Source organism: Homo sapiens, chromosome 10, assembly GCF_000001405.40.
Source record: "Homo sapiens chromosome 10, GRCh38.p14 Primary Assembly".
NCBI classification, from domain to species: Eukaryota; Metazoa; Chordata; class Mammalia; order Primates; family Hominidae; genus Homo; species Homo sapiens.
The window spans coordinates 44087156-44105275 of NC_000010.11; positions in this window are offsets into that span (position 1 = coordinate 44087156).

Consider the following 18120-nt stretch of genomic DNA (forward strand, 5'->3'; position numbering starts at 1 on the left):
GGCTTCTTGCAGAAATGATTGATTCCAGGTTTGAAACAGAAAATGTTAAAGATAAGTTTTATGTGCCTTTAAGTTGAAGGACTCTTGGCCTGAGATGGAATGATTTGACACCCAAAGTAATGATGATGCAATTAATTGAAATACAATACATAGATTTAACGTTTTTATGAGTTCTAATTATAGTAAAAAAAAGCAAAACCTTTATTGGTCATGTTTCAATACTGCTATATAATCAATTCATTATTTTGAAAATGTATAATTAAAAGAAAAAATTAAAGATTTATCCTGCATTTCCTATACAAACTATGGCCAAATAATTGCTTCTTTATAGAAGACACTGGCTAATGCAAGTAGAAGAAATGAGATCCACAGAAAATCACATATTTGTAACCCTTCATAAGATAATGGGTTTAGGCAATGATCCAATGGCTGTAGAAATCTCTAAGTGACATTTTAGTGGGGAGTCATCTGATAGATGGATAAGGATACCAACACCTGAACCCACTCAGCAGCTCTAACATCATAAAAAGAAAGGCAATCAGACATTCAATGTTTCCTGATGTGATACAATAAGGAAAAGTGCACATGAAATATTGTTTCAAAAAACATGAACCTGTACCTGATTAAGGGTCTAGAGCTAGCTACCATTTACAGGAGATCAGAGAGTAGAATAGTGTGTTAAATATCACCAAAGGATGTCAAATCTAGGGTGTGGGAAAATTTACAGGAAAATTGACCTGCTTTCTTCAATAAATAAATGGCAAAAGAAAGAGGTAAACTAAAAAATAGAAAAGGGGCAGGTGGGATTTAATAGACATATTCATCAAATGCAATATGTGGCCTTGTTTGAATCCCAACTGATAAAAATCATTTAGAGACAATTGGAGAAATTTGAACACTGAGTAGATATTTGATGATATGATGGAATTATTGATTATTTTGTTAAACAGGATGAAGACATTACTGTTACTTATTGTGTCCTTATCTACTAGACATTAAAAGAGGAAGCAGTTTCTGATAAAATATGGTATCTGGGATTTGTTTTAAAATGTTCCAGTGCATAACAGGGGTGGTAAAAAGAATCTATGGGAGGTACTTAGGGTGGCCATGTAATTTATCATCCAAACTGGAACACTGGGGAATAATGTGGTGCCACATTACAAGCATGAACAGGCATCCCCAGGCTCTCGCCCTGTGTGCATGTCTGCTTGGAGCCATGGATGAGCTGCTCTGGTCTAGACACATTCACATTTCTCATGGGGCACCCAGGAGTGATATGGTTTGGCTTTGCATCCCCACCCAAATCTCACCATGAATGGTAACAATCCCCACACGTCAAGCGAGGGGCCAGGTGGAGATAATTGAATCATGGGGGTGGTTTCCCCCATACTGTTCTTGTGATAGTGAATAAGTCTCATGAGATCTGATGATTTTATAAATGCGAGTTCCCCTGAACAAGCTCTCTTGCCTACTGCCATGTAAGACATGACTTTCTTCTCCTTTGTCTTCTGCCATGCTTGTGAGGCCTTCCCAGCCATGTGGAACTATAAGTCCATTAAACCTCTTTTTCTGTATAAACTACTCAGCCTTGGATATGTCTTTATTAGCAGAGTGAGAACTGACTAATGCAAGGAGACAGCACTCCCACAGCACAGCACAGGGCCCCATCAGCTATGAGGGGCGCAACCACAGCCAAGATGGCACCTGAGCAAAGAAGATGCTGCTTGTGGTTCACAGACTACTCTAAGCTTGTCCTCTCTTTCTTCCTGTGTGCTTAGCTTAAATAGAGAAACTGCCTGTTTTGGTGATTCCCTCCTTGGTGATGGAGGCCACACCATCAGCAATGACTTCTTGTTCTTTCTAAGCTCTTGGAAATATGGTCTTGGCCACTGGCTCTTTGTTGACAAACAAGACAGTGAGGATCACTGCTTCCTGGTCCTGATGAAGAGGTAGAAGTAGCAGGGCAGCAGTGAGATGTCTCCAAGTCTGGCCTATGAAATGAGGTTTTCTGCAAAGTACCCCAGCACTGTCTCATTCATTCGTTTTGTATTTATTCCACGAATTTGTATTGAGCCTTTGTTACATGCCAGGTTCTGGGCTAGGCTGTGGAAAAACTGAGATAAGAGACACAGTCCTTGTTCTCAAAGAGTTTGTCATCTAGTGGGACAGATGGGCAAATATTTCTCTCAGAATTGTAAGCTCAAAGATATATACTTCATTAGTTCATCCAAAGAACACGGCTGATTAGAAAAAGGTTGAGCATTGTTTTAGACACAGGAGAAACAGCCCTGGTCGAGAGGGTTGCTGTCCTTACCTGGGGAAGGTTAACATCAGGCTTGAGTGGCCAGAAAGGGTGTCACAGGCCCATGGGTGTTGGGCACAGTCTTGAAGGAGAAAGTATGTAAGAGAGAGTGAAGACCAGGCATCCCAAGCAGAGAGAACAGCCCGGGCCAAGAGGCAGAAGCAGAGACATGCCAAATGTCAGAGAAGGAAAGGCCAAATTCTCACCCCTGGGTGGATTCCAGACTTTCAGCCAACAACCAAATGTGTTAATTGATTGCTTTATGAGCTAATTATCTCATGGTCATCAGCTTCTTTCATTGAGATGAGCACAGGCCCAGCTTCCATATCTGCTGAAACTTACATCCCACTCTGGTTGCCTCCCATAGGCTGGGAAAGGAGTCAGGATCAGGAAGACATGTCCGGGCAGCCTGGGCTTTCTATCTCATTGTGCCAAATTGTTTGGCCAGCATTGTCTTCAAGGCTTTGCTCCAGGCTGTGGCTGGACATCTCAGCAATCTAATCATTTTTACAAGAAATGGATTCTTACTAATGAAAAGTAGGAATTACAGCCAATAGCATACTCTTAGATACCAGAACCCACCCAAATTTGTCAAGGGTTTCTAGCTGGGTTTCTGATTCTAAAAACATTGCTTAAAAAACATTGCTTAAAGTATAGTTACTAAAGTTAGGAGTGGGCCTCAGATTTGATGAGTAACTCTATAGGTCAGTAGGGATGACAGGCACTAAATAAAAAGCCCCCCCAGGATCCATCACTTCCGCCAAATTTCTTTTCCTATAACCTGTTTTTCTGTCATTTGTTTCCTAAGTCCCCACCCATTCAATGACAGTCATAGGCTATCTGACAACCTGGAAATGGTAGAGCAAGGGGCATAAAGGGTACCTTTTAGTCTATGGCAATAACATAGAGGGGATATATATAATTACCTTGCATATACCTTAAGACAAAGTAAATGTTTTTGAAAGTGTAGTAAAATACTACAGGCATGACCTTAGAGCAAAGTTTTGCCTATTGTCACCTGAAGATTCATAATGAAAAATGATGGCCAAATGAAATCAACATATCTTTTTAGATTCATCAGATAATTGAGCTCACAGAGCAAAATGATGTTCCCCAAATTGAAGAAGCAGGCGAATGCAAAGAATCACAGCTTGCTGGGACCGTAAGCTGCTGAAGCAGGAAACAAGGATTCCATATAATAACACGGGGGTTACAATTAAAAGAGCCACAACACTAATGCTCATTTAAGAAAGAAGCTCAGATATAACAGGAAATGAAAAGAAGGACACCAGAAGAAATTAAAGCCTCAGACACCTACAGCTAAAACAAGGAGTAAACACAGACACAATAATTCCTAACCAGATGAAGATAAAGCCACACACTAAAAGCCTACTAACCTGAACTTCTATTCTTCAATATGCAACAAATGTTTCTCAGTGAAAAATTACAAAGCATGAAAGGCGGTTCCTAGATGGCCGAATAGGAACAGCTCCGGTCTGCAGCTCCCTGTGTGATCTAAACAGAAGACGGGTGGTTTCTGCATTTCCAACTGAGGTACGCGTTTCATCTCAATGTGACTGGTCTGAAAGTGGGTGCAGCTCACAGAGGGTGAGCCAAAGCAAAACAGAGCATCCCCTCACCCAGGAAGCACAAGGGGTCCGGGGGTTTCCCTTTCCTAGCCAAGGGAAGCCATGACAGACTGTACCGGGAAAATCAGGACACTGCCACCTAAACACTGCGCTTTTTCCATGGTCTTAGCAAATGGCACACCAGGAGATTATATCCTGCACCTGGCTCAGTGGGTCCCACACCCACGGAGCCTTGCTCACTGCTAGTCCGAGATCAAACTGCAAGGCAGCAAGCCTGGCTGGGGGAGGGGTGTCTGCCATTGCTGAGGCTTGAGTAGGTAAACAAAGCAGCCAGAAAGCTCAAACTGGGTGGAGTCCACTGCAGCTCAACGAGGCCCACCTGCCTCTGTAGACTCCAGGTCTAGGACCAGGGCATACCTGAACAAAAGGCAGCAGAAACTTCTGCAGACTTAAATGTCCCTGTCTGACAGCTCTGAAGAGAGCAGTGATTCTCCCAGCATGATGTTTGAGCTCTGAGAATGGACAGACTGCCTCCTCAAGTGGGTCCCTGACCCCCATGTAGCCTAACTTGGAGGCACCTTCCTGTAGGGGTCAACTGACACCTCATACAGCTGGATGCCCCTCTGAGATGAAGCTTCTAGAGGAAGCATCAGGCAGCAATATTTGCTGTTCTGCAATATTTGCTGTTCTGCAGCCTCCGCTGGTGATACCGAGGCAAACAGGTTCTTGAGTGGACCTCCAGCAAACTCCCAACAGACCTGCAGTCGAGGGACTTGACTGGTAAAAGGAAAACTAACAAACAGAAAGGAATAGCATCAACATCAACAAAAAGGACACCAACACAAAAACCCCATCTGTAGGTCACCATCATCAAAGACCAAAGGTAGATAAAACTACAAAGATGGGGAGAAACCAGAGAAGGAAAACTGAAAATTCTAAGAACCACAGTGCCCCTTCTCCAAAGGATCACAGCTCCTCCTCGCCAGCAATGGAACAAAGCAGGATAGAGAATGACTCTGACGAGTTGACAGAAATAGGCTTCAGAAAGTTGGTAATAACAAATTTCTCTGAACTAAAGGAGGATGTTTGAACCCATTGCAAGGAAGCTCAAAACCTTGAAAAAAGATTAGACAAATGGCTAATTAGAATAAACAGTGTAGAGAAGACCTTAAATAACCTGATGGAGCTGAAAACCATGGCATGAGAACTACGTACACATGCACAAGCTTCAGTAGCCGATTTGATCAAGTGGAAGAAAGGGTATCAGTGATTGAAGATCAAACTAATGAAATGAAGTGGGAAGAGATGTTTAGAGAAAAAAGAGTAAAAAGAAACGAACAAAGCCTCCAAGAAATACAGGACAATGTGAAAAGACCAAATCTACGTTTGATTGGTGTACCTGAAAGTGATGAGGATAATGGAACCAAGTTGGAAAACACTCTTAAGGATATTATCCAGGAGACCTTCCTAAACCTAGCAAGGCAGGCCAATATTCAAATTCAGGAAATACAGAGAACACCACAAAGATACTCCTCAAGAAGAGCAACCCCAAAACACGTAATTGTCAGATTCACCAAGGTTGAAATGAAGGGAAAAATGCTAAGGGCAGCCAGAAAGAAAGGTCGGGTTACCCACAAAGGGAAGCCCATCAGACTAACAGCGGATCTCTTGGCAGAAACCCAAGAAGCCAGAAGAGAGTGGGGGCCAATATTCAACATTCTTGAAGAAAAGCATTTTCAATGCAGAATTTCATATCCAGCCAAACTAAGCTTCACAAGTGAAGGAGAAATAAAATCCTTTACAGACAAGCAAATGCTGAGAGATTTTGTGACCACCAGGCCTGCCTTACAAGAGCTCCTGAAGGAAGCATTAAACATGGAAAGGAACAACCAGTACCAGCCACTGCAAAAACATGCCAAATTGTAAAGACCATCGATGCTAGGAAGAAACTGCATCAACTAACGAGCAAAATAACCAGCTAATATCATGACAGGATCAAATTCACACATAACAATATTAACCTTAAATGTAAATGGGCTGAATGCCCCAATTAAAAGACACAGACTGGCAAATTGGATAAAGAGTCAAGATCCAGCAGTGTGCTGTATTCAGGAAACCCATCTCATGTGCAGAGACACACATAGGCTCAAAATAAAGGGATGGAGGAAGAGCCACCAAGCAAATGGAAAGCAAAAAAAAGGCAGGGGTTGCAATCCTAGTCTCTGACCAAACAGACTTTAAAGCAACAAAGATCAAAAGAGACAAAGAAGGCCATTACATAATGGTAAAGGGATCCATTCAACAAGAAGAGCTAACAATCCTAAATATATATGCACCCAATACAGGAGCACCCAGATTCATAAAGCAAGTCCTGAGTGACCTACAAAGAGACTTAGACTCCCACACAATAATAATGGGAGAATTTCATGCCCCACTGTCAATATTAGACAGATCAACGAGACAGAAGGTTAAAAAGGATATCCAGGACTTGAACTCAGCTCTGCACCAAGTAGACCTAATAGATATCTGCAGAACTCCCCACCCCAAATTATCAGAATATACATTCTTCCCAGCATCATATCACACAAATTCCAAAATTGACCACATAGTTGGAAGTAAAGCACTCCTCAGTAAATGTAAAAGAACAGAAATCACAACAAACTGCCTCTCAGACCACAGTGCAATCAAATTAGAACTCAGGATTAAGAAACTCACTCAAAACTGCACAACTACATGGAAACTGAACAATCTGCTCCTGAATGACTACTGGGTAAATAACGAAATGAAGGCAGAAATAAAGATGTTTTTTGAAATCAATGAAAGCAGAGACACAATGTACCAGAATCTCTGAGACACATTTACAGCAGTGTGTAGAGGGAAATTTATAGCACTAAATGTCCGTAAGAGAAAGCAGGAAAGTTGTGAAATTGACACCCTAATATCACAATTAAAAGAACTAGATAAGCAAGAGCAAACAAATTCAAAAGCTAGCAGAAGGCAAGAAATAACTAAGATCAGAGCAGAAATGAAGGAGATAGAGACACAACCCTTCAAAAAATCAATGAATTCAGGAGCTGGTGTTTTGAAAAGATCAATAAAATTGATAGACTGCTAGCAAGACTAATAAAGAAGAAAAGAGAGAAGAATCAAATAGATGCATTAAAAAATGAAAAAGGGGATCTCACCACCGATCCCACAGAAATACAAACTACCATCAGAGAATACTATAAACACCTCTACACAAATAAACTAGAAAATCTAGAAGACATGGATAAATTCCTGGACACATACACCCTCCCAAGACTAAACCAGGAAGAAGTTGAATCCCTGAATAGATCAATAACAGGTCCTGAAATTGAGGCAATAATTAACAGCTTACCAACCAAAAAAGGCCCAGGGCCAGACGGACTCACAGCTGAATTCTACCAGAAGTACAAAGAGTAGCTAGCACCATTCCTTCTGAAACTATTCCAACCAACAGAAAAAGAGGGAATCCTCCCTAACTCATTTTATGAGGCCAGGATCATCCTGATAGCAAAGCCTGGCAGAGATACAATAAAAAAAGAGAATTTTAGACCAATATCCCTGATGAACATTGATGCAAAAATCCTCAGTAAAATACTGGCAAATCGAATCCAGCAGCACATCCAAAAGCTCATCCAAGATCAAGGTGGCTTCATCCCTGGGATGCAAGGCTGGTTCGACATACACAAATCAATAAATGTAATCCATCACATAAACAGAACCAACCACACAAACCACACGATTATCTCAACAGATGCAGAAAAGGCCTTTGACAAAATTCAACAGCGCTTCATGCTAAAAGCTCTCAAGAAACTAGGTATTGATGGACTGTATCTCAAAATAATAAGAGCTATTTATGACAAACCCACAGCCAGTATCATACTGAATGGGTAAAAACTGGAAGCATTCCCTTTGAAAACTGGCACAAGACAGGGATGCCCTCTCTCACCACTCCTATTCAGCATAATGTTGGAAGTTCTGGCAAGGGCAATCAGACAAGAGAAAGAAATAAAGGGTATTCAATTAGGAAAAGAGGAAGTCAAATTGTCCCTGTTTGCAGATGACATGATTGTATATCTAGAAAACCCCACTGTCTCAGCCCAAAATCTCCTTAAGCTGATAAGCAACTTCAGCAGTCTCAGGATACAAAATCAATGTGCAAAAATCACAAGCATTCCTATACACTAATAACAGACAAACCGAGAGCCAAATCATGAGTGAACTCCCATTCACAATTGCTACAAAGAGAATAATACACTTAGGAATCAAATTTACAAGGGACATGAAGGACCTCTTCGAGGAGAACTACAAACCACTGCTCAATGAAATAAAAGAAGACACAAACAAATGGAAGAACATCCCATGCTCATGGATAGGAAGAATCAATATCGTGAAAACGGCCATACTGCCCAAGGCAATTTATGGATTCAATGCCATCCCCATCAAGCTACCAATGACTTTCTTCACAGAATTGGAAAAACTACTTTAAAGTTCATATGGAACTAAAAAAGAGCCTGCATTGCCAAGACAATCCTAAGCAAAAAGAACAAAGCTGGAGGCATCATACTACTTGACTTCAAACTATACTACAAGGCTACAGTAACCAAAACAGCATGGTACTGGTACCAAAACAGAGGTACAGACCAGTGGAATAAAACAGAGGCCTCAGAAATAACACCACACATCTGCATCCATCTGATCTTTGACAAAGCTGACAAAAACAAGAAATGGGGAAAGGATTCCCTATTTCATAAATGGTGCTGGGAAAACTGGCTAGCCATATGTAGAAAGCTGAAACTGGATCCCTTCCTTATACCTTATACAAAAATTAATTCAAGACAGATTAAAGACTTAAATGTTAGATCTAAAACCATAAAAACCCTAGAAGAAAACCTAGGCAATACCATTCAGGACATAGGCATGGACAAAGACTTCATGTCTAAAACACCAAAAACAATGGCAACAAAAGCCAAAATTGACAAATGGGATCTAATTAAACTAAAGAGCTTCTGCACAGCAAAAGAAACTGCTATCAGAGTAAACAGGCAGCCTACAGAATGGGAGAAAATTTTCGCAATCTACCCATCTGACAAAGGGCTAATATCCAGAATCTACAAATAAATTAAACAAATTTACAAGAAAAAAGCAAACAACCCCATCAAAAAGTGGGCAAAGGATATGAACACACACTTTTCAAAAGAAGACATTTGTCCATCCAACAGACACATGAAAAAATGCCCATCATCACTGGCCATCAGAGAAATGCAAATCAAAACCACAATGAGATACCGTCTCACACCAGTTAGAATGGTGATCGTTAAAAAGTCAGGTAACAACAGGTGCTGGAGAGGATGTGGAGAAATAGGAACACTTTTACACTGTTAGTGGGACTGTAAACTAGTTCAACCATGTGGAAGACAGTGTGGCGATACTTCAAGGATCTAGAACTAGAAATACCATTTGACCCAGCGATCCCATTACTGGGTATATACTCAAAGGATTATAAATCATGCTACAATAAAGACACATGCACAAGTATGTTTATTGCAGCACTATTCACAATAGCAAAGACTTGGAACCAAACCAAATGTCCATCAATGATAGACTGGATTAAGAAAATGTAGCACATATACACCATGGAATACTATGCAGCCATAAAAAAGGATAAGTTCATGTCCTTTGTAGCGACATGGATGAAGCTGGAAACCATCATTCTGAGCAAACTATCACAAGGACAGAAAACCAAACACTGCATGTTCTCACTCATAGATGAGAATTGAGCAATGAGACACAAGGTGGGGAACATCACACACTGGGGCCTGTCGTGCGGTGGGGGGATGAAGGAGGGATAGCATTAGGAGAAATAACTAATGTAAATGATGAGTTAATGGGTGCAGCAAACCAACATGGCACATATATACATATGTAACAAACCTGCACGTTGTGCACATGTACCCTAGAACTTAAAGTATAATAAAAAAATAAATAAATAAGAAAAGAAAAATTACAAAGCATGCTAAAAGGCAAGAAAGAACATAGTGTCAAGAGCCAAAGCAAGGAACGGAGCCAGTCTCAAGTATGATGCAGATTTTTGAATTATCAGAACAGATATGTAAATTAAGACTGATTAATATGCTAAGGGCTCTAATGGAAAATGTGACTGATATGTAAGAACGAATGGGTAGTGAAAGCAGAAAAATGGAAGTTCTCAGAAAGAATCCACTGGAAATTTTGGAAATCAAAAACATTGTTGCAAAGAAAAATGCCTTTGATGGGCTTGCCAGTAGACGGGACCCTGGGAGGAAAGAATCACTGAGCATGAAAATGTGTCAATAGAATCTTCCCAAACTGAAATGCAAGAGAAAGGAAATAAGAATAAAATGAAAAAAGGAGCAAGATATCCAAGAACTGTAATACAATTACAGAAGGTGTAATATATGCACAATGAGAATTCCAGAATTTGTGAAAGAAAGGACCAGAAGAAATATTTGAAGTAATAATGGTTGAGAATTTTCAAAAACTAATGACATGTGCCAAGCCACAGGTCCAGGAAACTGAGGGAACACCAAGCAGGATAAATACCAAAAAAAAAAAAAAAAAAAAAAAATTAGACACTTAGGGACACCCTATTCAAACTGTAGGAAACTAAAGATAAAGAGAAAATCTTAAAAGAAGCCAAAAGAATAAAACACGTTACTTATAGAGGACCAAAGATAAGAATTATATCAGACTTCTGAAGAGAATTATACCGGACTTCTCTACAGAAGTCCGATATATACATCTTCACAGGTAGTGGGTAACTTATAACAGAGTAGTCCCAATTTCTTCCTCCCATGCAAGCAAGAAGAGGTGAAGTGGAATATTTAAATTATTGAAAGAAAAAAAAAAAACCCATCAACCTAAAATCCTGTGTACTGCAAAATTATTCCTCAAAAGTAAAGGAGAAATAAAGACATTTTCAGGCAAACAAAAATTGAGAGAATTTGTCTCCAGTAGACTTGCATTGCCTGAAATGTTAAAACAAGTTCTTCAGAGAAAAAAAAAGTCAGAAATTTTGTTCTACTGAAAGAAATAAAACATTAGAAAAGGAATAAATAAGGGTAAAATTTTAAGGTTTTGTTTTTTATTCTTAATAGTTCTAATAAATAATTATTCACATAGTAATAGCAACAGTGCATTGGGTGACTAGCTTAGCGGTAAGTGGTATAAATGTTTGAAGGCATGCCAGAAAGAAATTGGGACTACTCTGTTATAAGGTACATGCTACCTGTGAAGAAGTATAGCGTTATTTGAAAGTGGACTTAGATTACTGCAAATTCAAGAGTAACCATTGAAAAACAGGGTGGGAAAGAAGTATAATTAATATGTTACGAGAGGAGGTACACTGAAACCATATAAAATGCTCAGTTAACACTGAGAGAAGGCAGAAGTGAGAGATAAAAGAAAAACAAAAAAGGGCAACAAATAGAAAACAATAACAAATATGATAAATATTAGTCCAATTATATTAATAATCACTTTAAATGTTAATAATATAAATATACCAATCAGAAGACAAAAACTGATAGAATGAAAACAAAAAAGACTAAACTATATGTTGTCTATAAGATACCCATTTTAAATACAGACACAGAAACATTAAAAGTAAAGGGATGGAGAAGATATACCATGCTATCACCAGGGATAAAGAAGGACATTACAAGGCCGGATGCAGTGGCTTATGCCTGTAATCCCAGCACTTTGGGAGGCTGAGGCGGGCGGATCATAAGGTCAGGATATCGAGACCATCCTGGCCAACATGGTGAAACCCCGTTTCTACTAAAAACACAGAAAATTAGCCGGGCATGGTGGCGGGCTCCTGTAGTCCCAGCTAATCGGGAGGCTAAGCAGGAGAATGGCTCGAACTCGGGAGGCAGAGCTTGCAGTGAACCGAGATTGTGCCACTGCACTCCAGCCTGGGCGACAGAGCGAGACTCCGTCTCCAAAAAAAAAAAAAAAAAAAAAAAAGAAGGGGATATTACATAGTGATAAAGGGTCAGCTCTCTAAGAAGATCTAATAATTTTTAATGTATATGTGTCTAACAACACTACATCAAAATACATAGGGCAAAATTTGGTATAACTGCAAGGAGAAATAGATTAATCCACTATTATAGTTGAAGACTTCAACATCCCTCTATAAGAAAAGGACAGATCCAGCAGGCAGAAAATCAGTAAAAACATCGTTTAATGTAACAACACCATCAGTTAACTGGCTCTAGTCACCTTGATAGATTACACATCCTCCTTGACTTACTATGAAGTTACATCCTAATAAACCCATTGTAAGTTGAAAATACACAAAGTCAAAAATGCATTTACTACACCTAACTTACCAAATATGATAACTTAGCTTAACTTAAATGTTCTCAGAAAACTTATGTTATCTTACAGTTGGGCAAAACTATCTAACTAAGCCTATTTAATAAAGGGTTGAATATCTCATATAATTTATTAAATACTGTGCTGGAAGTGAGAAATAGAATGACTGTATGGTGTTTGAAGTATGGTTTCTACTGAATGGGTTTTGCTTTTACACCATCTTAAAGTCGAAAAATTGTAAGTTGAATCATCGTAAGTCAGGGACCATCTGTACTTCATCTAATAAAAGCAGAATACACATTTTTCTCAAGCTCATATGGGATACTTACCAAGATAGATTCCATTCTGGGTACTGAAACAGATTGAACAAATTTTTAAAAATAAAATTCATAAAAAGTATGCTCTTGGACCATAATGAAATTAGCTAGAAATCAATAATGGAAAGATAGCTGGAAAAGAACCAAATATTTGGAGATTAAGCAACATACTTGCAAATAACACGTGAGTCAAAAGAGAAATCTCAAGAGAAATTAGAAATATTTTTAATTAAATGAAAATAAAGATACAACTTATCAAAATTTGGGGAATACATCAAAAGGAATGGTTAGAGAGAAATTTATAGCATTGAATGCATATATGCATATATTAGAATAGAAGGAGGACCTGAAATCAATAGAGGAAATAGGAAAATAAAGCAAGAAGAGCAATATAACTCTAAAGTGACCAAAAGAAAAGAAATAATAAAAATTAGAACTTCAATGAAATTAAAAACAGAAAAACAATAAGGAACCCAACAAAACCAAAAGTGGATTCTTTGAAAAGATCAATAAAATGGATAAACTTCTAGCCAGGCTAAACAAGAATCAAAGTGAGAGACACACATTTGTAGGGTGAGAAATGAAAGAGGGGAAATGACTACTGATCCCAAGGATATAAAAAGAGTGATACAGGAATATTATGAACAACTCTATGACCACAAATTTGATAACTTAGATAAAATGCACTTCTTTAAAAAATGCAGAAGATGCGGTGAGAAAATGACTTGAGAATTAAAATGGGGAAAATCAACATAGTCTAAAAACTGTAAGATGGAAATTCTGTCATGATACAATCCAAAAAAAATTAGCACATAACTAACGAAATAATTAATTATCATCTACAGTAAGAATGGGATTATTACAAGAGGGAAATGATGAGCTCATTAAGAGTAAGTAACATTGGAATAGTGGCTAGTTATTTTTTCCAATAATGTATGTAACATAACTACGTAAGGAAAAAGAAGTAAGAATGTTTTGGCCTATATGTCTTAATTTTTTAAGTGACATAATGTCTTAGGAATACTAGAAAACAATATAATGAAGTATGTTCTTTTTAATAGTACTTGTGGAAAAGTATGTAACTGGCTTGTGTAACCCTGTCCTAACACTCTGATTAATAGCTTAGTCTTGACACAGAGGGAGGCTTCAGGAAACAACTATAATTCTGTGTTTCCACTCTCTTATTCAATATTCTTATCAAGGAATAAAATTAAAACTTTGAAGGAATACATGTAGAGCTAAATATTTAAAAAATAGATCGAGAGATTTTGAAATGACTGTATCAGGATTAAACTTAACAGGAACAAATATAAGTCCCTGTGTTGGGAGTTTCCAAGACTACCTCCAGTTTCAGTGATTTCCTAGGAGGATGCAGAGGCCTCTGCATGTAGTCATATTCATGGCTGTAATTTATTACAGCAAAAGGGTACCAAGTAAAATCAGTAAAGACAAAAGACATATGGGGTGAAATCTGGAGGAAGCTAGGCACATGCTTTCAGGAGTGTTATCCCAGAGGAGTCACACAGTATGTGCTTAATTCCTCAAGCCCTGATATATGACAACACTTGTTCAATATCTGCCAGACATCTACCAGAGGAGCTCATTAGAGGCTCAGTGCCTGGGGTTTTGATTGTGGGCTTGTCATATAGGTACCCCTCTGTCTAACACATACCAAAATTCCACACACCGGGAAGGAAAGCACATATTCAGCATTAACCATATTGTTTGAACAAACAGTTTAAGCACAGTGAGCCATTCTAATCAGGGAATAATGGAAATTCTCCTGAAATCCAAGACCCCAGGTGCCTGTCAAGGGCCAGCCTTGCAAACAAGGCTTCCTAAGGAATGCAGTCTCAGGCCTACTCTGTTAACCCTTTTCTGCACAGCCCATATTATGGTGAGCACCAGCTTCATTGCACAAGCAAAGGGTATGAATGAAGTAATTGGCAGCACTTCACAGGAAACAGATCTGATGGTCTCCATTGACATCAACCATGGAGCAGGGAGTATGATGGAAAGAACTTAGTTTTGCAGTCATAGATATTTGAGCTCAAATATCAATTTGACCACTGACTTAATTTGACTTTCTAAGTTACTTAAACTGAGTTTCAGCTTCCTTGTCTATAAAATGGGATAGCAATAATAATAATAATAATGATAATAATAAATGTTGGAATTATTGTGGGGACTATAGATACATTTTATAAAGAATCTGGCAATCGATAAATGGTAGCTACTACTGTTTTAAGCTTAATATTAACCAAAATTGTAATGTGACTGGTAAAAACAACCCTCCTTTTGGATTTACTATGGGAGTGAGAAGCAGATTATAATCAGTATCTTAAAACTATTTCCAATATTTGAGACATGAAATAATTTAATGTTATAATAAATACAGGGAGGAAGCCTTCATGGCAGGTGAAATGCAAAAGACCATTACAGTCCATTGAAGGTGAAAGAATAGCCTTGGTGGGGATGGAGATTGTATCAGGAATCTTCAGAAGGCACTGGGAAAGTAGAATATGAAATGTAAAAGACATGTTGAAATTGAACTCAAATGTTTGATTACCCTTTTGGGAAGATGAGATTATAATTTTATTTTATAGGGTTCTGATGGGCTAGTGAGTTAGGACAATTCCTTAGAAATTACAGGAAAACTCAGATTTGTTGAGATAAGGAATATTTTCTGACAAACAGCTCTAACATTGGAATAGAAGACAACTGGAGGTGCTGAGGTCTCCATTCTGGAACGTGTTCAAAGAGAAACTGGATAAAACATCTGCTAAGAACACTGTAGAAGAGTTCCCTGTATTAAGGGGAATGAGGTTGCTCTTCTTGAGGAATCTTTTAAGTATGTTGTAAAGAAAATCAGTAATTAATCTTTTCCTGCTCAGATCCCTCTCTACAATTTTTGTCAATAGCATCCCAATTTCCCAGCCCTCATGTCCAACCTATGAACTTTAGTGTCATGACCCTGCCCCTACCTGTGGGAGCCATGTGCCTCAGACTCGGCTACCCAGAACACTGCCTCCTCTTGCTACAGGACTGGCCCGGGGTGACACATGGACCAAGATAGGACAGCAAGAGACCTCACTAGGGCTTAGGCTGGAGCCACTGGGGAGCAGACGCTTCAAGCTTACTGGGATTGCTAAGAAGGTGGCCTACAAATTAATCCTGCTGGGCCCAATTTGCCACCTGATGGAAAAGCCTACTGAGAATTCAGCCAGCACAGAGGAAACAAAAGCTAGAGTCAGAGACAGGAAATGAGAGAGACACCCCTGATAACATCTTTTGAGGCCCTGCCTCCATCCATTTCTCCCAGTTTTATGAGCCAATAAAACCCCATTTCTTACTTAAAGTGGTTGGAATCTGGTTTTGTTACATGCGACCAAATGACCCTTAATAATACATTTTTTCTTTTAATTGTCAAATAAGCTATTTTAAGAAATGAAGTATATGTGTAAGCCTCTCGTCACTCTAAAGAGTATGGATGCCACTTATAAATATAATAGGGCTAACTAAAGTTGGCATTCAAAGAGATAATCCAGAAAGTCCTGCACGTTTGCTAAAGCTGGGTTGCACATTTACCTAGAAGTCTTTCAAGAGCTGATCAAAACAGATAAAGAGCATTTGTTACAAGATCGGCAAAAGAGGATCAGTTGTTGTGTTCATGAATACAAACAGTACTTGGGGATGGTATTTGTTCCAGGGCACTAATGTCAGAGAGAAGTTTCTCCTTGGGTCGTGGTAAGGAGACCACCTCCTTGCTAACCTCCTACAGCAAGAATAATTAACAAATGCTGCCAGTTGCTCTCTGCAGCCCACCTCGACATAAACTACAGGAGCCAGACAAAAGCAAGAGAAATTAAAGCCCATCTATACAACGTCAAAGCAACTCTGTATATTTCAATGTCTAATCAGAACGGTAAGAGCTCTGATAATCTGGCATCAGTAAAGGGAAGAGTTGACCAGATTTAGAAGAATGAATGAGTCCTTCATCTTCAAGCAGCATTTGCTGAGTGGCAGGGCCTCCATATCTGGAAGTGCAGGCGGCCCTCTTCCCCGATTTCTCAGGTGAGGGGCCAGCTCTGCTAAGTGTGCTGGGTGCTCCAGTGCAGGGCTGCATCCCAGAGGGAAGGCCTGCATTTTTCTCGCTTGCTAGAAATGCAGTCTCCCCCTTCTAGCCAAAACAATATTGAAAATGAACAAAGTTGGAGGTCTCATACTTCCTGATTTCAAAACTTATCACAAAACTACAGTAATCAAAGTGGTGTGGTACATCAAACTGGTGTAGATCAATAGGCTAGAGTAGAAAGTCCAGAAATAAACCCTCACATATATGGTTAAATAATTTTTGAAAAGGGAGCCAAGATTATTTGATGAAAGAAGGGACAGTTTTCCCAACAAATGATGTTTATTGGAAAAATGCATATTCATATGCAAAAGAATGAAGTTGAACTCTTACCTCATGCCATATACAAAAATTAAATCAAAAGGGATTAAAGACCTAAACATAATGCTAAAACTACAAAACTCTTAGAAGAAATAGCAAATGCATCATGTTGTTGAATTTGGCAATGACTTCTTGGGTATGACACCGAAAAGACAGGCAAATAGAGAGCAAAAATAGATAAACTGGACTACATCAAAATTAAAAACTTCTGTTCACCAAAGGACACAATCAATAGAGTAAAAAAGTAATTAATGGGATGAGAGAAAATGTTTGTAAACCATACACCTAATAAGAAGTTAATATCCAGAACATACAAAGAATTCCTACAACTCAATGATAAAGAAGACAACCAATCTGATTAAGAAATGTTCAAAGAACTTGAATAGACATTATTAAAAGCAGATACAAAATGGCCAACAAGCCTATGAAAAGATGCTCAATGTCACTGATCATTAGGGAAATGCAAAACAAAACCACAATGAGATGTCACCTCACACCCTGGCTACTATAAAATAACAAACAGCAACAACAAATACAGAAAATAAGAAGTGTTGCTGAGGATGCAGAGAAATTGGAACCTTCGTTTGTGCACTCTTGGCGGGAATGTAAAATGGTGCAGCTGCTGTGGAAACAGTATGGTGGTTTATCAAAAAATTAAAAACAGAAATATCATGGGATCCAGCAATACTGCTTCTGAATATACAGCTAAAAGATTCAAAGCAGGATCTCAAAAGATTTGAAAGCATGGTCTTAAAGAGATATTTGTACATTAACGTCCATAAAGCATTATCCACAATGGCGAAAGGGTGGAAGCAATTGTCGGATGAACAGAAAAACAAAATGTGGTATATACACAGAATAGAATATTATTTATTCTTAAAAAGGAAGGGAATTCTGACATACGCTATGTTATGGATGAACCTTGAGGACATCTTGCTAAATTAAATAAGACAATCACAAAAAGACAAATGCTGTATGAGTCCACTTATAATAAGGTACCTAGAGTGGTCACATTCATAAAAAGTAGAATGGTGGTTGCCAGGGGCTGGGTAGAGGCAAAGTGGGGAGTTCTTT